The sequence below is a fragment of the Homo sapiens genome, chromosome 12, assembly GCF_000001405.40.
Source record: "Homo sapiens chromosome 12, GRCh38.p14 Primary Assembly".
Lineage (NCBI taxonomy): Eukaryota > Metazoa > Chordata > Mammalia > Primates > Hominidae > Homo > Homo sapiens.
In genome coordinates this window covers 124,288,737-124,316,043 of record NC_000012.12, presented here as the reverse complement: position 1 = coordinate 124,316,043, position 27,307 = coordinate 124,288,737, and the positions used below count along the sequence as shown (strand labels likewise).

The following is a 27,307-nucleotide window of genomic DNA, read 5'->3' as shown; positions in this document are numbered from 1 at the left end:
GACAGAAAAGGAAGTCCCGTTGGGTTTGCACAGTTTATTAAGATAATCAATCAATTTCTTAAGTTATTCCTTTGTTAACCAGACAGCATCTCTGGAGAGAAAATGCACTCTCTGTGTAGATACATAAAAATACATCAGTCATTTTGCCCCTCCTGGATGTGAACGGAATCTCCCCTCCTCACCTCCACAGAGGGAGCTCAAGCCCCAGGGAACCTTCCCCTCCCCTTTTATGCATTACCAGGGGAGTGGCAGGGGCAGCCCCCAACTGTGGAGTGCATTCAGGTCTGAGGGGGGAGGAAGGCTCAGAGGGGCATCTCCCCAGCACCCTGCCACAGTGCTGGCTTCTGGGGTGTTTGTTCAGCGGCCTGCTGGGCTGCCCCAGGCTGGGGGCTCCCCCAGCTCCCCGTGCATCCTGGCTTGTTCCACGGAGCCCTGAGCCAAGTCTTTGTCTGGCTCATGTTCCTCTCACAACATCCCACAGGCAGGGGTGAGCCTGCCGCAGGAAGGAGTAAGGTGCTGTCATTGCGGAATCGATTGCGCACAGGAATGCAGGCTGAGGGCGGCAGCCCGGTCCCCTCAGTGTCTCTTTAAACCGACAGCTGAGCTCCGACTCCCTCGAGTTCAGACCCGGCCTCACACAGGTGGCAGCATTTCCGAGAGCTTCACCGCCTCCACTGGGCACTTGGTTTTGACATCAAGGGTTCTCGTCCTGGAGGTGGTGCGTGGATGGGTGTTAGCTGGGGACGCCCTGCAGGTGAGGCTCCAGAGGCTGAGCACCAACCTTTCCATTTCGACGGGCAGTGCCCCAAATCTTTGACACTGGAGGGCACGGGACACTGGCAAGGCCATGGCTCAAAGTATTTCTAGGCCTTCCCCGCCCCCAGTATCACCACCTCCAGCGCTGGCATCAGCATCCGGCCTTTGCCCAACCTCCTGGCTCAACATCCGCCAGAGGTGGCTCAGCCACAGCTCCAGACCTCTCGGTGCAACCTGCATGTGTGCGAAAAGGCTGTTTTGGAAATACCCCAGGCCAGCAGCAGGGAAGAGAGGTACCCCTCTTCCCTCACACATGGCCTTGGCCACCAGCCTAGGACACATGGGGTGGCAGGGCTCTGGGGGAGTGGCAGCCGTCCCCACCGGCTGAGGCTGGGATGCCTCTGTCCTCACACTGCTCGGGGCTGTTCTCTGCTTCAAGGGCACTCCATGGACCCATTCTTTTCCCCTGACCCTGGGGGTGGCCACCACCTAACAGTGCATGCCCCTACCGCCTTGCCAGCTTAAGTGCTAAAAAAATAGATGCTTTTACTGAGTCCTTGACACCAAAACAAGGAGACCACCACCTAGCCTGTAGGTCAGGGCAGGCAGCGGGGAGCCGCCTCCTTCCACACGGGTCCTTGGTCTGGCAGCCTCCCTTCCCGCCTCCTGCCCGAGTGCCAGGCCGAGCTCATCGTGTCCATCCTCCCGGCTTCTCCCCAGGGCTCCCGGCTCCTCCAGCACCCCGGGCCGGCCCCAGCCCCGTCAGAGCGTGGCAGGGCCCAGGAGGCTGGGGGCAGGGTCCTGGCAAAGCTGCAGCTGCACGCTGGCGGTGAACCAGCGGCTGGGCCGGCCCAGGCTGCAGTGCAGGGTGGTCCGGAAAGTGCTCCTGGCATGCTTGGGGAAGATGATGGTGGTGCTGCGGAAGCGCAGGGCGCGCGGGCGTGGCTCCAGGGTCAGCTGGCTGCGGTAGTTGCGCCACGTGCAGTTGGGTGCTGCCACGATGGTCTCGCTGTAGGCCGTGACGGTGGGTACGGGCGCATAGAAGACCTTGTCCTGGAAATGCTTCTCCGAGGCGTACTTGACCTCAGAGTTGCAGCTGGAAAGGGCAGGAGGGAAGCGGAGTGAACCCAGGATTGGGGGCAGCCCGATTCCCTGCCCTCAGCATGGACACGAAAGGGCCCTGGGCAGATGCTCTGAAGCCTAACGGGTGTGGGCTGCTCTGAAATGTCAAGGTCAAGAAGGTCAAAGAAGGACTGAGGGACTGTCTTGGCTTCACAGAGACTAAAGAGGCGAGACAGCTAAACGCAATGAAGGACCCTGACTGGATCCTGAACTGGGGAGAAAAGTAAGCCAGGAAAGGACCTTATCGGGACGATGGGTGAAACTGAGCCGTGTCGTGTGGGTTAGGTGCTGGCGTCACCGTGTGCACTTCCCTGACGTTGACAACTATGCTGCTGTCATGGAAGAGGATGTCCCTGTTCTTAAGAGACACACTGAAGTATCTGGGGGCTAAAGGGCAGGATGTCACCAATCTCCTCTCAAATAGGGCAAGATATAAACAACCAGTGAATCTGTTTGAGAGGCACATGCAACCTTTTTTTTTTTTTTTGAGACGGAGTCTCGCTCTGTCACCCAGGCTGGAGTGCAGTGGCGCGATCTCGGCTCTCTGCAAGCTCCGCCTCCCAGGTTCACGCCATTCTCTTGCCTCAGCCTCCCGAGTAGCTGGGACTACAGGCGCCCGCCACCATGCCTGGCTAATTTTTTGTAATTTTTAGTAGAGACGGAGTTTCACCGTGTTAGCCAGGATGGTCTCGATCTCCTGACCTCGTGATCCGCCCGCCTCGGCCTCCCAAAGTGCTGGGATTACAGGCATGAGCCACCACGCCCAGCCGCAACCTTTTAAAAAGTTTGAAATTATATCAAAATACGTTTTCCAAGAAGTCCCTTCAACACCCTTGGAGGAGTGACCGACTAGTATCCCCCAGTTCCACGTCCAGAGCTTTAGGAAATCAGACTGGAAGCTCTGGGAAGGAGAGAATCCTCCCCATCTCATTCCCCACTGAACCCCCAGAGGTGATCACAGAAGACTTGTGAAGGGATCAGAGGTCCCGAGGGTCAAGGCATCCATCCTCCACCCTTGCTGGGCTTCTGATGATCTAATTTTGGCTTGCATTTTAAAAACTAGACAATGAAGGCTGTTTGGGGATTGAAAAATAATTTAGAAGTGGACTCGTTTGTCTCCTGGGACCATTGCCTGGCTGGCAGGGGCAGCAGGCAGTGGGTCTCAGACACTTGGCTGGCCCCACTCAACAGGGACGAGTGGATGGAGAGAGCCCCATAGATATGTGGGTAAGACTCACGGATCCCACACTCCATCCTTGGGAAGCCTGAGCCCCAGCAGCTTCAGAGGAGGGCAAATCGATGTGGGATGTTCCCAAGCAGGGGTGCCTTAATTCAATTCGGATGCCACCTAAGATGTCATATGCGTCATATGCATGGGAGGGCACCCAATACACTTACAGTGCAGTAGCTCATGGGTGGCCTCAAGAACCTAAGTTACAGTCACAAAGAACATGGAGCAGCTGGACAACTGTCCCCTAATGCTTGGACAACAGAGTGGAAGGCGGTCCTGAGTTGCCTGAATGGTTTGGTTGTGAATACCTAACAATCTGTCAGGGGCTGGGCATGGTGACTCACACCTGTCATCCCAGCATTCTAGGAGGCTGAGGCAGGAGGATCACTTGAGCCCAGGAGCTGGAGACCAGTCTGGGCAACATAGTGAGACCCCATCTCTACAAAAAATACAAAAATTAGCTGGCCATGGGGGCGCACACCTGCAGTCTCAGCTACTCGGGAGGCTGAGGTAGGAGGATTGCTTAAGCCCAGGAGGTTGAGGCTGCAGTGAGCCATGATCCCACCACTGCACTTCAGCCTGGGTGACACAGTGAGATCCCATCAAAAAAAAAAAAAATCTGGCAGGAGAAGGGAGGTAGAGTTAGGGTGCACAAGTGGTTATGTTCATAATTTTCCATTTTTTCTGAGAGGTTGGATTTAAAATAAAAGCCTTTTGGAGGAGAAGGTAAATGGGGAAATGGGAAACGGCTGAATAGACCTGGGGTGGGGGCGTGGGGTGGATACAGAGGGTCCCTTGGGGTCAGAGTCTCTTAAAATCAGTTTTGTCTGTGGCTAAGATACGGCCAAACTCCCCAGGAAGCAGCACCCAGAGGGGCTGCCTGGAGGGTAGGGAGCCTCCTGAGCCCCCAGCTTGGCCTAGTCCCCACCCCCATCCCACAAGAGAGTCAGGACCAGCACCCAACCCCCCACCCCCTCCTCCCGCGCAGAGCCCAGTGGCCCACTCACCGGATCTCATGCGTGGGTTCCGGGTTCACCTTGATGCTCTCCCCAAAGAACACTGGCAGCATCCGGGGCCTCATCTCCGACGCCGGGGGATTTGGGAGTTGGGAGGGGGGCTGTGGGGAGAGCCAGGGACACGGGGTTATGCAGCCCCTTGTTGCAGTGGCCTCAGCTCCCTGCTGGGCACACAGGACCACCTGACACCCTCTGGCCCTGGCTTGGTCTGGAAGCTGCTTGGTGGGGCCCATCAGGAAGCCGCTTTGTGGGGCCCATCAGGAAGCCCACCCCAGACGCCCTCCATGGGATCCAGGCATTCAGGGATCTGCCCAGCTCTCCACCACCAGCCTGTCCTCCAGCTCCCAGTTCTCAACAAGGGGTGTGGTCATGGCCTCTCACTGCAACCTCAAGGCCACACCCACCCCGGAGCCCGGCTCAGAGCCCTGGAGAACTGGGATCCCTCTGTGCTCTTTGCAGGGCTGAAACCACACTCGGCCTGGAGGAAGGGTTCCCAGCCCTTCTTGGTACCACCCAAGGCTCAGGCAGCCTCCAGAGGGGTAGAGACCCCACCACACCTGTGTCTGTGGCACACCTGCCAGGGAGGAACACACAGGTGGGAGCTGGCCAGGCCTGTCGAGGGGCACAGGAAGCTGATCAGAATAGCAGATGTCTGCAGGAGGGCAGGGAGGGCCTACCCAGCATCCACATCTTCTAGAAATGGCACCACATCTCCCTGAGGACAAGGACTGGATTGGACATGGGCGTGTAACCCACACTGGGCCAATGAGAGCCCTACCCAGGTTCTCCTCCAGAGCTGTGGAGACAGCCCCCACCGTGAGGGCTAAGAATGTAGGGGGGTTGGAAACCAGTGGAAATGGAGCTATGCTGAGGAGAGCAGGAGTCAAAGATGTGAAAGATCAAGTCTTTCCAACATTGTTCAAATGCCTGGATCGAGCCACACCTGAAACTGTCCCTCAGTTGTGAGCACCAGCAAATCCATTTTGAGGCTTCAGACCATTTGAGCTGCCTTTCTGTCACTTGCAGCTGGAAGAATCTTGGCAAGGTGGGGAAAGAGAGTTCTATGGGAACAGAAGCCATCCACAGCCCCTTCAGAAAGAGCCCCATCAGACAGACACAAAGAAAGCACTCTCTGTTCCCCTCCCAAATCCACCCCACAGCTCCACGCTGGGAAGTTCTTTCTCTGGTCTGTTTTAAAGTCTGTCCCAAAATTCCACTCCCTGTGGAAGCAAAGACCATCAGGGGCATGCCCCTGCCCGGTGCTCCTCACAGGAAGTGGCCTAAGGACCCCCACCCCATCCTGCTCCTCACAGAAAGTGGCCTAAGGACCCCCACCCCATCCTGCTCCTCAACAGAAAGTGGCCTAAGGACCCCTACCCCATCCTGCAGTCCACCTCCCCCTCCCTGCAGTCCACCTCCCCCTCCCCACAGCTCAGCCCATTGCTGATTCAGCCCCAAACTGATGCTGAAAACAGACCTCTGGCCCCTGCAGCCTCTCCTCATGCCAACATGGTGACACTTCTGCCCTCCCCCTACCCCACTCTTCCCTCCGGAAGTGTTCCCCGCCAGACTCAGCCTCACAGGCCTTTCCCCTCTTCCACCAACCCAAGAAAACCCCGTCCATCTGTACTCGGGGGTCCTTCAGGGCCAGCCCAGCAAAGTGAGCATCTTGAAGTAGAGATTTCACTCAGGGCAGGGCCAGGAGGCTCTGTTTCTAAAGGCTTTTTTTTTTTTTTTTTTTTTTTTGAGACAGAGTCTCTCTCTGTCACCCAGGCTAGAGTACGGTAGTGCAATCATGGCTCACTGCAGCCTCGAACTTCTGGGTTCAAGCAATCCTTCCACCCCAGCCTCCCACATAGCTGGCACTACAGGTGCATGCCACCATGCCCCAGCCAATTTAAAAAACAATTTTTGCAGAGACAGGATCTCACTATGTTGCCCAGGCTGATCGCAAATTCCTGGGCTCAAGTGATCCTCCTACCCTGGCCTCTCAAAGAGCTGGAACTGCAGGCGTGAGCCACCACGCCTGGCCCCTAAAGCCTTTTAAGGCAGCCCTAGATGTTCTCCTTGAGGTGTGGCTGCAACACTCAAGTCACCGCCAACCCGTTGGGAACACATGGTGAGAGCCAGAAAGAAGCCCTTGCTCTTTGATGCCATTGAGATTGGGGATGTTATGAGGCATCCTCCTGCCTGACTAGCCTGTGCTGGGATAGCAGGGGGCCTGGCAAGGCCACTCCCTAGGGCCTCTGCTGGAACTACACGTGCCCGCTCCAAGGGCTCAGGGAGGTGAAGGGCGGGGCTTTAAATAACCCGCCTATTTTTCAGATAGCTTGTTCATCACTGAGGTTATGAATAATAGACCCAGAGCGTATGAATAGCACAGCTTTGGAGAAAGCATGAGTGCAGATGCGAAGAGATGCTCGCGGCCACAGCAGAACGCCTTTCGTTCAGCTCACCCACTGCGCGCCACTGTGTGCCGGCACTGCGCTCTGTACTGCTGCCATGGTGGCAAACAGAGGCTCTCCTGGCCTCGTCGCAGCTTGCTGCCTGAATCCCCCACTGCTCCCACCAGTGTCCCACCAGTGGACTAAGATTCCAACTGTCAGGAGGGCTGTGGTCGACAGGGCAATGAGGGCACGAGAAGGGTTTGACCACCAGGTAATCAGGGAGTGCTTCCCTGTGCAGTGCCACTCGGGATGTGATCGGTGGGGGGGAAGCAGAGTCCACTGTGGCCCCAGGGCCCACAGGTCCTGGAGTGCCCCCACTGGGCCCCAGGGCCACACAGCCACAAACAGCACCCAGGACACCCGCACGCCCTCAGCCCTGCCTCCCCCTGGCATGCAGGCCATGCCCTGGGACCCTGTTCTAGGGCTTCTAATACAGGGGCCACTAGCCGCACGGGGCTATTCAACTTAAATTCATTACGATTCAGTAGGTTGAAAAACGCCATTCCTCAGTCGCACCCGCCACGCGCTGGCAGCTGTCGCACTGGCCGGGGTAGATCCAGAACACGCTCACTGTCACAGCAAGCACCCTGCACAGGCCACCCTAGGGGGACGCAGGCTGTGGGTGAGGTTCCAGCCGGCGGGCCGGCCCCAGCCCCAAATGACCACTGCCTGCTGTGTGCAGAGGCCCTCAGAGAAGAGGCCTCAAGACGTCCCCATCAATGGCTCTGCTCCTCCCAGAGCCACTCAGGCTGCTGGCTGGGCAGGTCCCGGGTTTGCCCCTGGCTCTGTCTGCCTGTGTGAAAATGGGGAGAGATGGAGGTACCTGGGGTGGAGGCAGGAACCCAAGGGAGGTCACAGTCTGGTCTGAAACCTGCAGACCCTCTCCCTGGGAGGTGGGGCATGGCCCAGTGTGGCCAAGATGAGATGGACCCAGAAGTCCTGGAGAGAAGCAGCGAGGGTCAACGCATGGACACCAAAAACACGGCCAGAGGTGGCTTTCCAAGGACAAGGGCAGTGTGGGTAGAACAGGGTCCCCCCCCAAAGCCCATGTCCACGCAGACCCTGTGGACAGGATCTTATTTGGAATAGAGCCTTTGCAGATGGAATTGAGGCTCCTGAGATGAGGCCATCTCAGAGGAGGGTGGGCCCTAAAGCCAATGACTGGTGTCCCTACAAGAAGCGTGGACACAGGCCGGAGGCAGTGGCTGACGCCTGTAATCCTAGCACTTTGGGAGGCCGAGGTGGGTGGATCACCTGAGGTCAGGAGTTTAAGACTAGCCTGGACAACCTGGTGAAACCCTGTCTCTACTAAAAATACAAAAATTAGCCAGGTATGGTGGTGCACGCCTGTAGTCCCAGCTACTAGGGACGCTGAGGCAGGAGGATCGCTCAAACCCAGGAGGCAGAGGTTGCAGTGAGCCGAGATCGCGCCACTGTACTCCAGCCTGGGCAACAGAGCGGGACTCTGTCTCAAAAAAAAAAAAAAAAGAGCGGACACAGACGCACAGGGACGATGTGGAGGCAGGGATGGCAGGGGCACAACCACAAGCCAAGGAGCACCTGGAGCCACCAGAAGCCAGAGAGGCAGGAAGGAGCCTCCCCTGGAGCCCTCTGAGGCAGTGTGGCCCTGCTCACACCTCGATTGGAACTCTGGCCTCCGGAACTGTGCGAGAATAGAGTTCTGTTTCCTCAGGCCACCCAGTTTGTGGCAGTTTTTTTTACAGTGGCTCTAGGAAGATCACACAAGAGAACCACATGCTAAAAGTCGACAAGCCCGAACCCTGGGGCCTGCGCCGCCCAGCCCTCCGTGAAGGCACCGGGGCTGGCTGAGACCACCCGTGGGTCCCCAGCCTGGCCTCCTCCCATCTTGATCAGGGACTCGGGATGGGAAATCTTGTGAAACCAGTTTATGAGGGGAGTCCTTCCAGGGGAATGGGAGAGAGGGGCTAAGCAGGTGTCAGCCAGGCAAGGCGACGGCACAGCTGTGACCAGCCTGGCCCCATCACACCAGGGGCGCAGGAGTGTGACTGCCTCAGCACTGGTCCCAGCTGGGAGAGCAGGCTGCTGGTCACTGGCTGCCCCACTCCTGGGGGTGGGAGTCACCTCCTGGGGGAAGAAGCTCCCTTTCCCCCAAAGGACAGCTCTCTAGGAAAGGGGACAGCTGCCAGCAGTGGGCAGCCAGGGTTCACGGCCACTGGAGACTGAGGCAGTGGGGCACCGTGCGCAGCGGCCATGACACCTCCCTGACCCCGTCACTGGGACACGGCACTTAGCAGGTTTTGCTTACGCATTTATTTCTAGGTTTGCGGCCCTCTCCCTGCTCTCTGGCCCTACCCAGATCACGATGCCCCCGCGGATGGGGAGGCACGGTCTGCATCCCTTACACCCCAGCGTCTAGTGCGTGGTGATGCTCAGTGCTTTGTTCTTGGCTGAAGAGGGGATAGCTGGCTCCCACGGGGGACAGCAGGTGGTGGGGACCCTATTCCTCCAGACTGGTGCTCGTGCCTGGGCCGCAGAGGGCCAAGCCTATAACCATGGTGACCACATGCACACCGGCCTCGGGCAGAGGGAGTGGAGGGTGGACATCGGGCTGGGCGGGAACTGTGAACTCAGAGCCAAGTCCTGCAGGGACCTAGCTTGATATCTCCTACATCTGTCCCCTCCCCGCCGCCCCCATACCTGCCTGGACAATGAGGATGCAGAGCTTTTTGCACTCTCACTGTGCCGGGCACCATTCTGGGCACTCGCCACATATCCTACTCATCTGATCCTTATAAAAAACCCCAGCACGCAGCTGCTGGCAGCACCCCCATTTTCCACATGTGGAAACCGAGGCCCAGAGTGGCTAAGTCATTTGCCCAAGGCCACACAGCTGGAAGAGGCAGGTCAGGGCTGGAACGCTGCTGGTGCGGCTCCAGGTCCCGGGCCCTCACCCTCGCTCCTCCACTGCCTTTCATGCCCAGGGGCCTGTCTCATCGCTGCCCCCTCAGCTCCAGGCTCCCCCGACACAGGCTCAAGGATTCCCACTCGGGCCTCTGCCTGTTCCTGTCTCGGCCCCTTGTCTGTGACCCGAGGCTGCCTCGGTGTTCCCGCTGTTCCCTGCTGCACTGGCTGCTTCTCGCTTGGGCTGGTGAGAGCCAACTCAGTGTCCTCTCCAAGTCTTAGGGGCATCCTCTGTGGGGACACGGGAGCACCCATCTACTGGCCTTCATCGCGATAACCCCTTTGCGTGTCTGTCACCCCCAGAGAAGCAGCTCCCTAAGGCTGGAGTCCTTATCACCTCTAAGCCCAGGACCTGGCACCTCTCCGCCCCTGCACTATGGGGAGGGGAGACCCCACACCTGCAAAGCAGCCCCTGCCCCAACCCAGAGAGCCCCGAGTATGGGCCCATACCTGTCCTCAAGTTTGGCAGCAGTCTGTGGACAAACATCACCAGGAGCCCCATCCCTGCTAGTCACGGTCACCCCAGAACAAGGGCTGAGGACCACAGGGAGAGGATCGAGGACTGAAGAAGCAGGAGATTCTTCAAAGCCCCCAGCAGCTGGCCTCGAGGTGGCCCCATCTCTCCCTGGCATTGACACGGAGTGAGTGGCCCAAAAGAGAGGCAGCTGCTCCCTTCCTGGGTGTGGCATGCTGAACAACAGCCCCCAAAGCTGTCCACACCCTAACCCCCAGGACCTGGGAATATCTGCAAAAGGGACTTTGCAGATGTGATTAAGAATTCTGAGATGGGATATGGTCCTGGGTCATCCAGGTGGGCCTGATGTCATCACAGCTTTCCAGGGGGTCAGAGTCAGAGAACGGCCAGAAGATGCTGCACTGCCGGCTTTGATGAGGAGGAAGGGGCCACAAGCCAAGGAGCACGGGCCCCTCTAGGAGCCAGAACAGGCACAGGAATGGACTCTTTCTGAGCCTCCAGAAGGAACCAGTCCTGCTGACGCTTATCATTCTGGGACTCCTGACCTCCAGAGCTGGAAGATGATAACAAATTCGTGCCGTTTGAAGCCACTCTGTGTTTGGTAATTGGCTGCAGCAGCCAAGGAGACTGCTAAGCTGTGTGACTTGGGCCAATGACTTCCCGTCTCTGGGCCACCACAGCCTCCACGTCTCTGAAGTGGGCCGTTAGGAGGACCCGCCTCCCAGGCTTCGGCACAGCTGAGTCAGAGCCAGCAGCCACATGGAACAGCGCCCAACCCAGGGGTGGCACTGGGTGCCAGTGGGCCCGCAAGGGGGATCCTCCTTTCCCATGAAGGTCTGGGGTGGAGGTACCTCCCTGGACAGAGGTATAGCTCACACCCTTCTAACCTAAAACAACACTTCTTACTTTCAGAAGCAAGCAAGCATCATTTCAGAACAATCACTTCACAAAAACAAGGCAGTGACAAGACAGGCCCATCCTCATCTTCTATGGCTCACCGTTCAGTCAACACTGACCCCAGCTGCAAGACTCTATATGATTCCATGTTTTTAGAAATAATACACACTCCCCAAAAGATGTTATCTGAAGCTCGGCATTTTCCCAAGTGCGTGCAGGTGTTTGTTTGCTGAGCACCTACTGTGTGCTGGGCCCTGTGGGAGTGAGATGAGGCACAGGAACCCCCAGGGCCCTTCTCCCGCAAGAGGGGGTGACATGTAGCCACAGGGGAGGAGAGAGGACGACACCAGTGTGGAAGGGGACATAAACATGAGCACTAAGGTTTGGGGAGGTGTTTCTTCTGTCCAGACAAGTGGAAGGGCTGGAGGGAGAGAGAGGCAGCCTGCTGCTGCCGTTACCCACCCACGCGCTGCCAGGAAAGGCTAACTCCTCACCCATCGAGCAGGGAGGGCTTATTTCAGAGGCAAAGCCTTTGTGCTGTGGCAGAGCCCCCGCCCCGGCATCTCTCTTGGGTCAACCCGGAATGAAGACACTGCCAAACCCTCCGGATACCACCACACCTGGAACGTGGGCGCCGACAAAGGCAGCCCCTTTCCGCCCGGTCCCGCTCCCCACCTGGCTGCCAGCAGCAGACAAGGCCTAATTCACAGGCTGGCCCGGGAAGCCAGAGCTCCGGGCACCATTTGCCAAAGGGTCCCGCTGAAAAAACACCTAAAGTCCACCCAAGCTGGAAGCGCTGGGCAGGAGACACCAGAAGCCGTGAAAGCCCAGACCGATATAGGCTGGCGTCCCGTGGGCCTGGGCGGTGAGACGGCTCGGGAAGTCCCCGCCAAGGCCCAGGACACTCCCGCGGAGCTGCAGGGCTGGACACCAAGGGAAGATGGTGGCAGCCACCAGTTCATCCTGAGGCTCGCAGCTTCGTCTTTCTGGCTGCAGGGCTATTCGAACATCGAAACGGTCGTGGCGCCCTGTGGACTCCAGCCAGCCTGGGGAGTGGGCAAGGGAAGTGCCTCTCGCGGCCAAGAAGGCAGACTGCGGCCCTGAAGTCCGACTTTCCAGCCACGCGGGAGCGAGATACTGCCGAAGACTGGGTCACACACAGTCCCACGGGGGCTGGCAAGGCAGGGGAGGGCCAGGGAAGGGGTCAGGCACATGCACACGGGGACCTGTCATTGCTCACCTGCCCTGGCCATGCGGCCACCTTGGGCACGGGAAGCCCCCAGACAGGCCCGCTCCCCACCCCCACCCCCAGCCGGTCTGTGAGGCTGCAGCGCCCTCCCACAGGCCCGGGCTCCTGTTCTGGTCTAGACAGAATCCGGTGAGATGCCCTCGTCTGCCCTCGGTTTGCTCATCTGTGAAACGAGGCTGTGCCATCGGCAAGGCCCACATCCTGGGGCTGGGGGACCATCAGGGATGCCCAAGACACAGGCTGGTGGTTTCCTGGGGGGCTCAGCATCCGCCTGGAAGCTCTGGGATGTTGGGACAGGGGAGAACAAGTGCTTCTCGGGCACACAGGAGGGTCACCCAGATGCCATGCTTCCCTCCCAGCTTAGGAAAACAGGGATGGCCCAGGCCCAGGTTCCCAGCTCCTTCCAGGGTCTGGGGCAAGCCTGCTGTGGCCTGGGGAGGCTGGGCTTACTCCCAGGCTTCTGGGCAGCAGGACAGTGTGGGGGGCAGGACGGGCCCTGGAGGGTGTTGGGTCCTGTGGACACTCGCCAAGGGCCCACCAGGCCCCACCCGCTTCACCCAGGAGCCTTCCCCGGGAGCCGCTGGGGTGGGGATGAACACTCGCTGGCTGGAAGTCAAAGTACACAGGGGCTCCTCGGAGCTCCCCACCTTCCTGGCTGCTGCACAGGCCATAGCCCACAGGCCGGCGAGGAAAGATAGCCGCTCTGTTGTCGAGAGCTCAGTGCCTCACAGTGACAGCCTGCCAGACCTGGAGTCTGGGCCCGGCTGGGCAGGGACTCACAGGGAGGCACAGCCTGGGCGACACAGCGCCATCCACAGATACTATGGCGCAGTTCGCTGAACCATGAGCTTTCACCCAGGAGCCAACTAGCGGCCCATCAGTGCAGGAGTGGGAGGCAGGAGGAGGTACCCAGAGCCCCCCCTCCCCCGTTGCTGCTCCTGGAGACAGCAGGATAGCCAGGGAGCCCCACACGGGCCGCGGGAGAGGCGTCCTTATGAAAGCCACATGGAGCCTTGCAACAGCTACCCCTGACCTCGGCCCCTGACCTCGGCCCCTGACCTCGGCCCTCTGACCTCGGCCCCTGACCTCGGCCCCTGACCTCAGCCCCTGACCTCGGCCCCCTGACCTCGGCCCCTGACCTCCCTGGCGGTGAGAACCCCTGCTGCTGTCAGAACTTGATCGTCTGGGATATACACTGGGAATCTGAGACCAAAGCGCACGGGCTGGGCTAAGGTTAATCTTGACCATCACCCATGGGGAAGATGAACCAAGGAGGGGCATTTAAGCACCAAGAATTCCCACCCTTCTGATGACAGCCTTGGCTATTGGCGAATCCTGGGGCAGGGGGCCGGGGCAGGGGTGGGTCTTTCTCGATCTCCCCCAACGTGGCACTATGGGGCACCTGAATGTGATTATCGAAAGGACACAGTCTGCTTGGGGGGGATCCCAGGAGACCCCGAGTGGGTCAGGCCATATGGAGAGCCATGAACTATCAAGGGCCCAGCAAGGAACCCACGAGCCCAGGATCTGACACCCAAGGCAGAGAAACGGTGAACAAACTCGAACGTCGCAGCTCGGAGGCAGTGCTCCAGCTGGGCTCCCTCCTGAGATGGGCAGGCCTGGTGCACCCAAGTCAGCAAGATGGGTGTGGCCTGCCTTGTGTCCCCCACAAAGATAAGTTCAAGTCCTAAACCCTGGTACCTGCAACTGTCACCTTATTTGGAAAGAGGGTCTTTGCACATGTGATCAAGTTAAGATGAGGTCAGATTAGATTAGGGTGGACCCTGATCCAAGGACTGGTGTCTTTCTAAGAAGAGGGAAATCTGGACATGGGGACACACACAGAGACAAGGCCACATAAAGACAGAGGCAGAGACTGGCGTGATGCGGCCAGCAGCTAGGAGAGGCAGGTGGGACGGACCCCCTTACAGCCTCCAGAGGAGCGTGCCCCCGCCGTCAGCTCGATTTCAGACTTCTTGGCCTCCGGAACTCTGAGAGGATGAATTTCTTCTGTGTTAAGCCACCCAGTCTGTGGCACTTTGTCACGGCAGCTCTGGGAAGTGAGTGCAGGGACCCACAGCTCTGCCAGCCAATAACAGAGTGGGGGCCGTCAACCTAGGGCACAAGAATCACTTTGCACAGGCTGCGGGGCTTGGGGCAGGGTCTCCCACTTCCCCCCAGACACTCAGAACACTGTCCTTTCTCAACCACTCACAACTGCCAGGCGGCCTCCCAGATAGGGGACACCCATCTCTGTACACAAAAAAATGGCGAACCCAGACCCTGCCCTTATAAAGGCCGGATTTGCTGCAAGGTGGACAAATATCCCCTCTGGATTCCTGTGCATCCTAAGATACAGATGGCACACCAGGAGTGTCCACAGTCCATGTACCGTGCCCCGCAGGGAGGCCGAGCACTGGAGGGCAGACAGGACAGACCACACCTGCCCCCAGGAAAGCTGTCTCCGGGAAAGCTGCCCCCAGTCTGTCTGGCAGCATTTTCCCCATGCAGGTGGCTCCCTTGTTTCCAGAGCACCTGGAAGGCCGTGAGCCTATTTGTCTTCTTTTCACACTAAAGCTGCAGATATAGCTGAGTTTCTCAGCTGGGTAAGCCTGCCCCGGAGACCGGGGCTGTCAGACACTTTGCTGAATTTCCACTGGAGGCCAGTTCACCCGGGATCGAGCAGACGCGGCTGGAAGGAGGCGCAGGGCTTCTGGCTTTCCCTCCTCTCCCTCCTCACAGCCTCCCTTTCTGCAAACAGGCTTCTCCCTCCCACCTTGTCCTGACATACCTGGCTGTCTTCCACCTTAGCTTGCTCAGACACCTTCACAGGAACACACCTGTAAGCCTGCCAGGGGGCCATGGGGACCGATCCCTGTTTTCCTGAGTCCATCTGTTCAGCCATCTGTTCATCCATTCATCCTCCATCCATCCATCTATCCATCCATCAATCCATCCATCCTTCCATCCATCCATCCATCCATCCATCCACCCTTCTGCCCATCCATCCATCCTTCTATTTGCCCATCTATTCATCCATCCATCCATCCACCCATTCTTCTGTCCATCCATCCATCCACCCATTCTTCTGTCCATCCATCCATCCATCCATCCATCCATCCATCCATCCGTCAATCCATCCATCCATCCATCCATCCATCCATCCATCCATCCATGCATCCATCCACCCTTCTGCCCATCCATCCATCCTTCTATCTATTTGCCCATCGATCCATCCTTCTATCTATTTGCCCATCGATCCATCCATCCATCCATCCATCCACCCATTCTTCTGTCCATCCATCCATCCATCCATCTATCTATCCATCCATCCATCCATCCATCCTTCCCAACCCCAGCACTACCTCCCTAGCTCCCTTCCCTCTCCTCTCTCATACTCAGTTTCACCATCACAGACAAGAAGCAGAAATGAGAAAATCCAAGAGTCCCAAGGGTCCCAGCCAAGGTCCAAAGGGATGGCTGAGACCTCAGGCGGCCTCCAAGAGCTGGGCCCCCAGGGGAGTTCTTAGGGATGGCTTCTCTTGCAATGTGGGTCCAGGGATCCAGCACGTCTTCCTTAGGGAAGCTCTCACGTACACTCTTCAGAAATCCACCCACTGCATAAACAAGACTGAGGGAGGCTGGATGGAGGGAAGGAGCCCTGAAGGTGACAGAGCCCAGGCCACCAGCTGTGGGTGCAGTCCAGGGCCAGAGGCCCCGTCTCTGCATCTGGGAGGCAGCAACAGCTCAGATCTGTCACCACCTGCCATTGCCCCATAACAGGCTGAGTCCTTTGCTTGCCACAGGGGGGCTGTTCATTTGAACATGAACCCCAGAGAACACAATGTAAGATCCCAAATGCCACTTTCAGCCTCCCTGAGTGCAGTAAGATGGCACAGGGCTACTTCTCCGAACTGCCCATATTCACTTAGGGAGATAGATCTGCCTCAAAGCCATCCTCATTCCTCCACGATGCCAACCCCTAAATGCCCACAGCTCTGCCGGGCAGGGCGGGGAGGAGGAGAAGAGCAATGGGTGTTTGCTCAATCTGCAGTGACAGTCCAGGCCCTGGGAGCTCAAAGGCAGCAGAGGCAGCAGCTGTGTTACTCACCCACCCCGCTTTAAATATCTGTGAGCTGACAAATGCCCATCAATCAGAGTGGATAAAGAAACTGTGGTATATATATACGCCATGGAATGCTACTCAGCCATAAAAAGGAATGAAATCATGGCATTTGAAGCAACCTGGATGGAATTGGAGACCATTATTCTAAGTGAAGTAACTCAGGAATGGAAAACCAAACACTGTATTTCTCATTTATAAGTGGGAGCTCAGCTATGAGGATGCAAAGGCATAAGAATGACACAATGGACTTTGGGGACTCAGGGGAAAGGGTGGGAAGAGGGTGAGGGATAAGAGATGACAAATTGGGTTCAGTGTGTACTGCTTGGGTGGTGGGTGCACCAAAATCCCACAAATCGCCACTAAAGAATTGACTCATGTCACCAAATACCACCTGTTCCCCCAAAACCTATGGAAAGAAAACATTAAAAAATAAATTTAAAAAAACTGTGGGCTGAATGCAGCTGACAGACAATCTCCTCTGCCACCAGGCCCAGTGGGCAGGCTCTGCTGTCCTGGGCCATGCAGGAGACAGGTCCCTGCCCGCATGGAGACACGCCCTACACTGATGCAAAATGGCCACATTCTGCGTCCCGCACGGGCACCCTCCTCACTCAAGTCTCTCATTTGAGTTTCTAATTTGGGGAGTGTGGAATGGAAGCTCATGATGGCTTTTTAAAAATAAAAATAGAACAGTCACAAGTAGTTTTTAAAAGACCAAATGGAATTTTAACTTTTGGCCTCAGCTTCACCTAGAAGTCACTGACCTGGCCTCTCCCGGCCCTCCGGTGGTCCCTGCCTCTTTGTGGCTCCTCAAGGCATTTGGTTACATGCATAAGTTCTTTAGTGGTGATTTCTGAGATTTTTGTGCACCCATCACCCGAACAGGCCATGCCTAGCTTGCTTGTGCCTCAGGACCTTTGCACATGCCATTGTCTCGGACTGAGCACATCTCAGCCCTAGAACTGTAAAGTTCGTACCCTGAGTGTGTGTGGGTTTCTATTAACCACCACCTCCCTGTCTACCTGCCTAAAGCTCACCTCTCACCCAGCTTCTGGCCTTAAGGACACTTCTCCATCCACCTGCTGCTGCCACACATAGTTCAGCTGGTGGCTGTGTCTCTTCCGCTAGGATGCCAGTTCATGAGGGCAGGGACCGTCAGCATCTTGTTCACTGCTGTGTCCTCCATGGCCCCAAACAGAGCGTGACACACAGTAGGTGCTCAGTAAGTACTGGGGGGACCAATGCCTGATTCCCAGCTCTTCGTCTGGCCTGGGAGTGATCGGGAATGTTCCCACCTTTGCTCCAAGAGTGAGCACAAAAAGCCCATGGTGAGTGGGGAGGGGGTTCATTCATATCCAGCCTGGCCCCCAGGGCCTTTGATGTCTTGGGGAGTGATCTTACAGCCAGCCGCTTCCCAGATACCCTGCCTTAGTGGGTGGGGGGCGTCCAGGAGGCAAGTCCAGCTTATTCAAACAAAGTGGGGGGGCCTCTTTAATGAAGTGAAGCGTAGGCAGGTTTAACATGCACGTCCGTCCAGCCTCCTAAAGTAGGTGACAAGGTGGTGAGGACCTCAGTGGCTTAGATTTGAGGGCGGGACTGCAGTCCATCCCAGCAGCTGAGGCATATGCCACCAACTTTTATCAGAAAGGTGGTGTCGTTCACTGGATAGTGGAACAAAGACACCCACCCTGCCAAACGCGGTCTGAACCTGAGGCCCACATGGAAACCCGGCACCGCTCACCCCATCCTCTTCCTCGGGTGTTGGAAACCCTCAGCCGCGAGGCGCAGCACAGGTTTCCGCCTCTTTGTCCTGAGACAGTATGGGGTGCCGATATTTGCACCTAAAAAGCACTCTCCCTGAGTCGTCAGTGAGCAGGGTGCGGTTAAACACCGCTCAGCAAAGTTTAGCGGGAGTTAACGGGGAGGTGGGGCGCCCTGTGGGGTGGGCGATGGGTGGGTGGGCATGGCCACAGCGGCAAGCCCCAAAGCTGAGAAGAGTGGGCGCCAGGCAATCCTTTCTCCCTTTTATTGAAAGCAGCCCTTCAAACCTGGTAGGTACACAGGCATTTTGTTTTCCAATAAAAAAAAAATCACAGGTAGTTAATTAGCTGCACAGTGAAAAGGGGGATAATATGAGGTTGAAGGGCAGACTCTGCAGTCAGACTCTCTGGGTCTAGCCCAGCACAGCCGCTTCCTGGCTGGGCAACTTTGGGCAGGTTGCTAACCTCCTCTGTGCCTTGGCTTCCGCCTCTGGAAAATGGGGCTAATTGGAGTGTAGGCTTCATGGGAATATAGTGAAAATTAAATGAATTGGTGTAAATAAAGAGCTTAGGACAGTTATCCTGGCACACGGTATGAGCTATCTAAATGCCAAGTATCATAACCCATGAGGAAACAGCCCCGGGCTTTGCTTTTAAGCCAAATTAGAAGATCAGGGCAACACAGTTTCATACCTGGCATCTAGTGAGCAGGAAGGGGAAAAAATAAAGTCAAGTAGAAGAGCCAAGACAAGTAAGCCAGCCATGCTATTCTTGCGGCAGCCACGGGCTGGCCCGGATGGCAGAGAACGCTTCCAGAAAACCCTCTGTAAGGAGGCTTCTGGGTCATGGAAGGAACCAAGGAGAAGGCGGATTCCAGGTCGTTTTTCTCCAAGCCCCACTGTGCAAGGCACCACGGGGATTCAGTCCCAAAGTGTGCAGCTCAAATGGGCGACAGTGCCAAGTCCCAGAGGCTCTGGCAGGAAAGCTGGCCCCCTTTAGACAGCAAGATCAGGTTCACTTCAAACAGCCCTGGTCACCTCTATCAACTCCTGGAAGTCCTCACTGCCCCTTCCACCCGCCAGGCTCCCATAAAGAGACCAAAGTTCAAATTTGCTGCATGATTTGGTCTAAGATAGTGACTCCCAGACTTTGCTGAACAGTACAATCACCCAGGGAGACTGAAACCCTCCTGATGCCGAGCTGCACCCCCTATCAATTCAGTGAGACTATCTGGGCGGTGAGTGTGGGTGGGTTTTAAAGATTCTCCAAGTGATTCCAATGGGCGACCAAGTTTGGGACCCACCAGGCTAAGAAACAAGCAAGGCACGAATGAAGGTCATATCCTGAGGCTTGAGGCCGGGGAGCCGCTCCTTTCCGCTGTGGGGAGGAGGATTTTCAGCGGCGGGGAGGCCTTTTTTGCCCTGTGAGTGCCAGGCAAGAATCCCCGGGGCCCCAGGAAAGGGGAGTGGAGCCAGCACACACGCCCCAGCAGTAAAGCTGTTAAGGTGGGCAGGGCGCAGCCAGAGAGCGGGCAGGGATGGGCAATCACTCATTTCAACTTGTCATTTCCTCAGGCTGCAAAGGCGCCCGCTCGGCCCATATGCTTCCCCGCCTGCCGGGGGGTGCCCAGTCTCAGGCAAGGCGCCAAGCTGGGTCCCCACCGGAGTCCACCCCCAGGCTGGACTTAGTCTGGCAGGAGACAAACTCCTGAGTTTCCTGACCCGAGGTTCCAGCCTCCCCCTCCCGCCTAAGCTCCACGTCAACATGCCTTAACATCCCGGGAAGGAAGGAATCCTGTCTGGGTTTGGTTATTTAAAAAAAAGAAAAGAAAAGAAAAGAAGAGAAGAGAAGAGAAGAGAAGAGAAGAGAAGAGAAGAGAAGAAGAGAGAGAGAGAGAGAAAGAAAGAAAGAAAGAAAGAAAGAAAGAAAGAAAGAAAGAAAGAAAGAAAAGGCTTTCACATTGGCAGCGCCCGGACAGTAAACAGGGCACCCGGAGCAGCAGAGGGGCCGGGTCCAGATGTCTGCAACATGCTGGGCCTCTGGGCGCAAGCCCACCTAGCCAACAGCCAACTTCTTTGGGAATTTCGGACCGTCCTTTACCCCGCCCCATGAGCCCCCCATTATTACTGACAATAGGAAGAATCACTCTGGAGGGAGGCCCACCGCCAGGGAGCCGTCTCCAGGTCCGGGGTCAGCCTGGATCACCTCCCCCTACACACCCTGGTCCCCACCTGAGAAGCGTGGCTGTCACTGGCCACCTTCGTGGTTGCGGGGCAGGTAGAGGAGGAGGCACGTCCTGCTGCTGCAGTGGCGCGCGTCTCTGGGGGCAGCCCTCACCCACCCGCCCACGCGGTCCCCCGTTTGGGAGAGAGAGCGCCTCCTTACCGCTCTGGCCTCGCTGGGTCCCGGGGGCTCCGAGGAGGCGCCGGCGCCCCCCGCGCGCGCGTCGAGGATGCCGGGCGCCAGGGAGTAGAAGGGCGGGCTGGGGCTGGGGCTGGGGGGCAGCCCGGAGTCGGGGCTGTCCAGCAAGCCCTCCCGGCCCTGCTCCTTCAGGCTGTCCTCCATGCCCTGCAGATGCAGGTGGCCCACCATGTCTGGGGGGCGCGGGGCGCGGGCCCCCCGCTCCTCCGGGGGCTTCTCCACCGCGCTCCGGGGCCCGGGGCAGGCGGCGGCGGGGCGAGAGCTGCGCGCCCGGGGACCTGCGGGCACCGCGAGAGGCGGCGATCAGGCCCGGCGCCCCCCGCGCCCCGGATCCCCGCGGGCCTGCAGCCTGCTCGCCGCCGTGGGCCGCGCTCCTGCCAGCGCCGCCGCCCTCCGCCCTCCGCCCTCCGCGGCTCCCGCCCGCCGGGCCCAGCCTCGCCTCTGCGCTGCGCTGCGATCCCGCAGGCCGGCCCAGCCCCGAGGCGCACGTTGCCGCCCGGCCCTCTCCGCACCTCCCCGGCCCGCGCCTCCTTTTCTAGGCGCCTCCTCCTCCCCCTTCCTCTCCCCGCCCCGGCCTGCGCGGTGGGCAACAGCCCCGGCCCGGCGCCTCCGCCGAGGCCCTCCCGCTCCTGGGCACTGCGCGCCCAGCCAGCAGCTGGAGTCCCACGAGGCGCGTGTGTCCCCCACTCCCGGAACAAGCACCACACTGGCGCACCGAGGGTGCCTTGTGGGGTCCCCAAGTCATCCCAAGACATACGAGTAATCATCATCATCCTATTTCGTGGTGCTCTTGGAGGTTTTCTCCATCTCATTTGAAGTCCCAATAAAAGCAGCTTGAGAAACTTTATTTTAGAGTTTTCTTTTTCTCTGTAACTTACAATCGATGGGGAGGAGGGCCACCACAGCCCTAGTACTGGCGTCTCGGTTACCCGCACACCCAGGGCCAGCTCTTTGGGCCTTAAGGGTGGAAAGCATTGGGTGGAACCTGTGGGTGGGGGCGGCGGGGGCGATGAGCAGCACTTCCGGGAATCCCCCGGCATCTGGCTGTTCCTGCATTTTTTCCAGGCAGGTCCTCGCTCATGAACAAGGGTCCTGCCGGTCTTTCCCTTCTTTTCCTTCCTCCCAAGAGAGAAGAACACGTGTTTCCCTTCCTTACTGTTTTCTTATCAGATGCCTGGCAAAGGATGTCTGCATTTCCAGCGCCCAGCCACACAGACGCCCCCCACCCCACTCCTGAGGATCCATCCTTCCATTCTGCAAGCGGGGCAGCTGGGGGTGTCCACGGACTGCTTTGAAAAGCAGGAATGTGGGAGAGGCTAATAGGGCGAAGAGAACAGAGGTAGACTCCAGGAGGGGTGAAAGTGTGCCCAGACACACTCACTTCCATTCAGCTTACAGCAGAAAGCCCAAGATCAGGGGCGGGAAGCCGGGTGTCAGAATCCGCTCTTTGGACACCCCCAAACTGAGGGCAGCACTTTGAAGATGTTCTCAGGCTCCCATTCCGCACCCAGCCTTGGCCGGACCTCAGAACGGGCAGGCGTAAGACAGCAGGCCCCTGCCCTGTGGAGGGCCCAGTCTGATGAGGGAGCCTGTCAATGCACCAGGAAGCTAAGGCTGTGAGTCTAAGGGAAGGAACTTAATGAGGTGCTGCAACCAAGAATAGTCAAAGGGACAACTTAAGGCTTTGGAGTGTTCAGGGAAGGCTTCTTGGAGGAGGCGATTTTCAAAGATAAGATCTGAATAGCCAAGCAGTGAGAATTAGCGCACCATGTGGAGGGAACAGCAGGGCGCAGGCCCTGCAGCAGCAGGAGTAAGGTGCATGCCGGACACTGACAGAGGGTGGGGCCGCTTCCTGAGAGCCCACAGGGTGACAGGCATGCACCTGTCACCAGGTGAATTTACAGCCCATTTCCATGTCGCCCAGGAAAGAACGCTGGAAGTCTGCTGCCCAAACAGACCCAACTAACCAGAGGTTTGAATATTTGGAACATTCTGGGAAAAAAACAATGGGACTACGGATTCCATTTGCTTCAATTCTTAGGCAAGCCAGGCCCTCTTCAGCCCTTGGGCCACTTGACCAGAATGACTGGCTGAACTACTGTCACTGACTAGGACGAAAGCGGTGGGGGGAGGGGGCATTCTTTCTGGAACACAGACACATGGAAATTCACATTTCCCAAATGCTCACCCACCCAGACCCAGTAGTCTTCTGCTTCCCTGGAGAAAGTCTTCGGCAAGAACTAATTTCTTCTTATCTCAGGGACTAATGACCCCTTGGCCACAATAGCTACCCAGGGCAGGGCAGGATGCGGGCAAGGTGGAGTCTCAGAATTGCAGGGTTCCTCTGTCTTTATTTGAAATGTTGATATTTTGAGGCCTGGTGCGGTGGCTCACGCCTGTAATCCCAGCACTTTGGGAAGCTGAGGCGGGTGGATCCCCTGAGGTCAGGAGTTTAAGACCAGCCTGGCCAACATGGTGAAATTCTGTCTCTACTAAAAATAACAAAAAAATTAGCCGGGCGTGGTGGCGGGCGCCTGTAATCCCAACTACTCAGGAGGCTGAGGCAGGAGAATTGCTTGAACTCAGGAGGTGGAGGTTGCAGTGAGCTGAGGTCATGCCACTGCACTCCAGCCTGGGCAACAGAGCAAGACTCTGTCTCAAAATAAGATAAAATGTTGATGTTTTGTTCATCTTGAACTGTTTGCATCCATTTTGACTTTTAAAACATTGCAGCGAAATACCATTTGTGGTGATTTCTGTGTTTGGGCGATGTCCTGAAAGTCCCTTGCCCCACTCTACTAATCCTGGCCCCCTTGTGCCATTCATCTTGATCTAGAAGCCCGCTTATCAAGAGTGCCTTCATGACTATGCCCACCTGGGTTCTGGAAGTTTCCCCTGAAACAGGCTGCCCTGTGTGGATAACCGTCAGAGATATGTGCACACCAGACAGCAGGCAGAACATGAGTGCACTACAAAGGTCAAAGCCCCAGAGAGCAGCCCACACTGATGGCCCCAGTGACCATGACCTCTGACCTATTCAGATCCGCTGCTGTGGGCTGGGGACCGCCCCTCAATTGAAAGCCGGTACTGTGGAAGCTTCTATTTCTCACAGCACCAGATGGTCTGCAAATGTCAAAGAGGGGAGGAAAAGACGAAATTTCCATAAATTCATCTGAGCCAGGGGCTAGCCAGTGGGCAGGGCAGGAGGCTCTTGTGGCCAGTCTCAGAAGGAAAAGGGACTTGAAATGTGAGGCCTGAGGAGCAGAAAAGGGGGTCTTTCAAGATCGGGGTGTCTGCTCCAGGCCCAGCGCTGTAGGAAGGGCAGAGGGAAGAAGGTACTAGGTCTACGGAGGCCCTTATGCTGTGCTAAGGGATTGGGGCTTTATCTGCCAGGGATGGGAGAATCTGCAGAGGTTTTGAAGCAGGTAAAGAATGATCTGATCCAAATCGCTTCCAAAGTTCCTCACATATACACACATATGCACATAAACAAAGTTGGATGAAAGAAAGGAGAGTTTGGAGGCAGAGAAAAATTGGGCAGAGAAAGTAGATATTTAATAGAAAAGAGGTATTGGGGTATCCCTGACAAGGGGTCGTAAAGAGCGGGTCCCGTGTTGGAGAGAAGGGGAGAAGGGTGTATGCATATGTATGCACCATACACCCCTGGGAAGGAAGACCTTCCTCCACAAGCTTCTGAAGTCACTGGCTTTTCAGAGCACATGTTGGGGAAGAAAGAAAAGTGACCTGGGGTAACCCCAAGCCCCAGCCCAGGGCTCCCCAAGCACTCCCCATATCAGGGGGATTTTCCCAGAATGCTTTGTGTGGGGGAAGCTCAACTCTGCGAGGAAGGCCAGAGGGAAGGGTGTTGAGGAAAAAAAAAAAGGCTTTTTCACGGAGAGCCATTTGCCACTTGTTCCAAGCAGCATTGAAGGAAGGCTCCTAGAAGTAGGGCTGCGCATTCCTGGGCAGCTTACAGAGCTCTGCACACGCACCATCGTGCACTTGAACCCTGGCTGCATATTATTTCCATTTTGAAATAAAGCAGGCCAGGAACGGTGGCTCATGCCTGTAATCCCAGCACTTTGGGAGGCCAAGGTGCGTGGATCAACTGAGGTCAGGAGTTTGAGACCAGCCTGACCAACATGGTGAAACCCCGTCTCTACTAAAAATACTTAAAAATTAGCCAGGTGTGGTGGTGCACACCTGTAATCCCAGCTACACAGGAGGCTGAGGCAGGAGAATCCCTTGAACCTGGGAGGCAGAGGCTGCAGTGAGCCAAGATCATGCCACTGCACTCCAGCCTGGGCAATAGAGTGAGACTCCAACTCAAAAAAATAAATTAATAAAATAAAAGATAAATCATAAATAAATAAAGCAGATGGAGCCATGGAGACTCAGAGAGGTTAAGTGACTGCCTGAGGTCACACAGCCTATCCTAAGTAGAAAGCCAAACTGGAGGCTGCTAGGGTGGATGTGGGGGAAGGCTGTCAGTGGGTCCCAGTGGACCGTGACATGGAGGCAGGAGGACTGAGGTCGTCATGCCTGACAACTGCAAGGCTTTTCTGTGACCTGCAGAGAGAGCCCTGAAACAAGGCCATCTGAGCGCATTGGAGGCCGCTCGCCTTCCAAGGAGGCTTACAGACAAGGAAGGGGTCTCCTTGCCATGTGCACGCTCGGCTGCCTGGGTTTGAACCCTGGCCCTACCATGTCCCGGCTGTGTGATCTGGGCAATTGGCCTGCCCTTTCTGTGCCTCAGTGTCCCCATCCATAAAGCAGGGATGATAATAAAGGTAGTGAATGAAGATTAAATATAAGCATATTAGGGGTATGCTTCCAGGCACGCCAGGCACAAGCCTCAGCATGGTGCCAGGGAAATTTTCGCAGGCTCAGCTGGGCCCTGCTCTCATCACCACACCTCATGCCTCTCTGTGTGAAATCACCAAGATAATCAATACATTTAGACACACACACACTTATGCATGCACATAAACACATATGCACATACACACAAGCACACATATGCACACACATATACATGTACACACATAAACATGTATATACACATAAACACAAATATACACACATACACACAGATGCATACACAATACACATGTGTACACACAAGCACACACATAACACAAATACATATATACACATACACATGTATGCACATACACACATGTACCTACATATACACAGGTAAACACATATGCACACATATACACAAACACACAAATACACACATACACATATGCACACACATATGCAAATGCACATACATGGACACACAAATATACACACTAACACATGCACATACATACATATACACACATGTACCCACACACGTATACACGCATGTCTACACATCTACACACATACACACACACATATGCATATACACTTTTGAGAAGAAGAAAAGACGAGAGAACTGCGGTGTCAGCGAAATCTTTGTCTTTCCTAGGGAGAGCCCCGGGCTCTTGCCTATTTTTAGGGAATGCAGAAGTAACACTGAACATCCCTGAGGGTTTGAAAGTAGCCACAGAAGAAGTTGAAGTGGAGGAGTTCAAAGGGGCGGCGAGAACAGAGGCAAGAAGAGTGGCTTCTTGATCACACGCTCCTTACAGGCCCTGTCTGAGCTGTCCAGCCGGGCATGTGGTCAAATGTTTCAGAGTGAAGGTCCCGGTGACTGTACAACCGTGAGACCTGGGACTCTGCATCCTCAGCAGGCCAGGTCCTAGTGCCTGGCCCAGGGATGCCTCCCTGCCCCGGGGAGTCGCATGTTCCCCGGTGGCCTGTCTCACCCGAGGGACTTTTCCGCAGTGCCCTTGCTCAGTCCCCAGCTGTACCACAGATGTCCACGCCTGGACAGAGCTCCAGCAGTGACTCACCTCTTCATTTTTAGCCCGTGTCCTCTCGGAGCCTGCAGCCCGCCTTTGCTGGGCAGCTGTCTGGGGGTCAGGGCCCATGCCCTGGGTGTCCACTCATAAAACCAGCTCTTGACCACCTGCCCTACTAAGACAGGGAAGCGGGGACAAAATGAATTCAAAGTGCCTTTGACCTGGGCATACGTTCTGCTGCCATTTGTATGTGCGTGTCCAGGACAGCCTCCAGATTCCCAGTGCTTTCAGTGAGTAATGAAAGCTGTTCTAACGGTCTGCCACCCAGCGTCCTGGCTTGGCTTTCCCGCAGCCCCTCCCGTTCCCACTCCACAGTGGGGCTGCTGGACTCACCTCACAGCTCCGGGCAAAGACGCCTACGGCTGAGAGGCTTCTTCCCGGCTGGAAACTTGCCGCTTCACACCTTCCGGCTGTAAGGAGCTTTTAGCTGAAAAGGCCTTTTCTGCCAGCTTCTCCCAAGCTTGAGTAAACAAAAAACCTATTTATGTCTTCAGAGCACTTAATTAAGCCAGGGCAGGGATAAAATCAGAGACTGAGTGTAGTGAAAACACACTCCGTAAAGTCAGAAGAAGGTCGCTCCCGGCCAGGCTTGGCCAAGAGCCAGCTGTGTGTTCTTGGGGGAAGCTGGGTCCCCCTGAATTTTTGCAAGAATAATGTAATGAAAACCCAAGTACCATTTGGGTTTGTTGGGTGTTGACATATCGGATCTCTCTCTCTCTCTCTCTCTCTCTCTCTCTCTCTCTCTCGTATGTGTGTGTGTACTGTTTATTTTGTTTTGTGTTTTGCTAAACTATGTAAAAATTGGTGGTAAACATCATGCCCCTTTGCCCCAAAACTCTTCAACGGCACCTCCTAAGAAGAAAGATGATATGGAACCACAATACCGCGATCATACTGAGGGAATTTAACGTTGATACAATTATATAACCTATATTCCATATCAAAATGTCCCCAATTTTCCCAACAA

At 56.3% G+C, this 27,307-nt stretch overlaps 2 protein-coding genes across 4 annotated transcripts in view, besides 1 other annotated feature; both read right to left on the bottom strand.

Moving 5' to 3' along the window:
- Positions 1-19: 19 nt before the first annotated feature.
- On the bottom strand, positions 20-26,880 carry RFLNA (refilin A). Of its 2 annotated transcripts, none has more exons than NM_181709.5 (3): positions 26,674-26,880; positions 4,117-4,226; positions 20-1,852 (listed from the first exon to the last, which is right to left on the bottom strand). In NM_181709.5, exons 2-3 carry the CDS (start codon positions 4,188-4,190, stop codon positions 1,519-1,521), a joined length of 408 nt encoding a protein of 135 aa, NP_859060.3. In that variant the 5' UTR covers positions 4,191-4,226; positions 26,674-26,880; the 3' UTR covers positions 20-1,518. The 2 variants fall into 2 exon arrangements, with proteins under 2 accessions (NP_859060.3, NP_001352085.1); NM_001365156.1 differs by lacking the exon at positions 26,674-26,880 and adding an exon at positions 20,408-20,951.
- ZNF664-RFLNA (ZNF664-RFLNA readthrough) overlaps positions 20-27,307 on the bottom strand; it is a 342,810-nt gene continuing 315,522 nt past the window's right edge. For both annotated transcript variants that reach the window (NM_001204299.3, NM_001347902.2), the window contains exons 4-5: positions 4,117-4,226; positions 20-1,852 (exon numbers count right to left, since the gene is read on the bottom strand). In NM_001204299.3, coding sequence (NP_001191228.1) covers positions 1,519-1,852; positions 4,117-4,190 — 408 coding nt within the window. In that variant the 5' untranslated portion in view covers positions 4,191-4,226 and the 3' untranslated portion in view covers positions 20-1,518. The remainder of the gene's footprint in view (positions 1,853-4,116; positions 4,227-27,307) is intronic.
- Positions 13,170-13,671: an enhancer, noted in NCBI's record as "H3K4me1 hESC enhancer chr12:124786919-124787420 (GRCh37/hg19 assembly coordinates)". NCBI's record gives its function as "activates a minimal SCP1, AML or CMV promoter by ChIP-STARR-seq in naive H9 embryonic stem cells {active_cell/tissue: H9 hESC(naive)}" and the evidence as "EXISTENCE:reporter gene assay evidence [ECO:0000049][PMID:30033119]".

Coding starts and splice junctions, on each gene's coding strand:
- RFLNA (NM_001365156.1), bottom strand. CDS start 20,614: ATGGTGGGCCACCTGCATCTGCAGGGCATGGAGGACAGCCTGAAGGAG. Junction 4,227..20,407: donor GACCCAGCGAGGCCAGAGCG/GTAAGGAGGCGC, acceptor CTCTCCCCACAG/CCCCCCTCCCAACTCCCAAA. Junction 1,853..4,116: donor GAACCCACGCATGAGATCCG/GTGAGTGGGCCA, acceptor TGCCCTTTCCAG/CTGCAACTCTGAGGTCAAGT.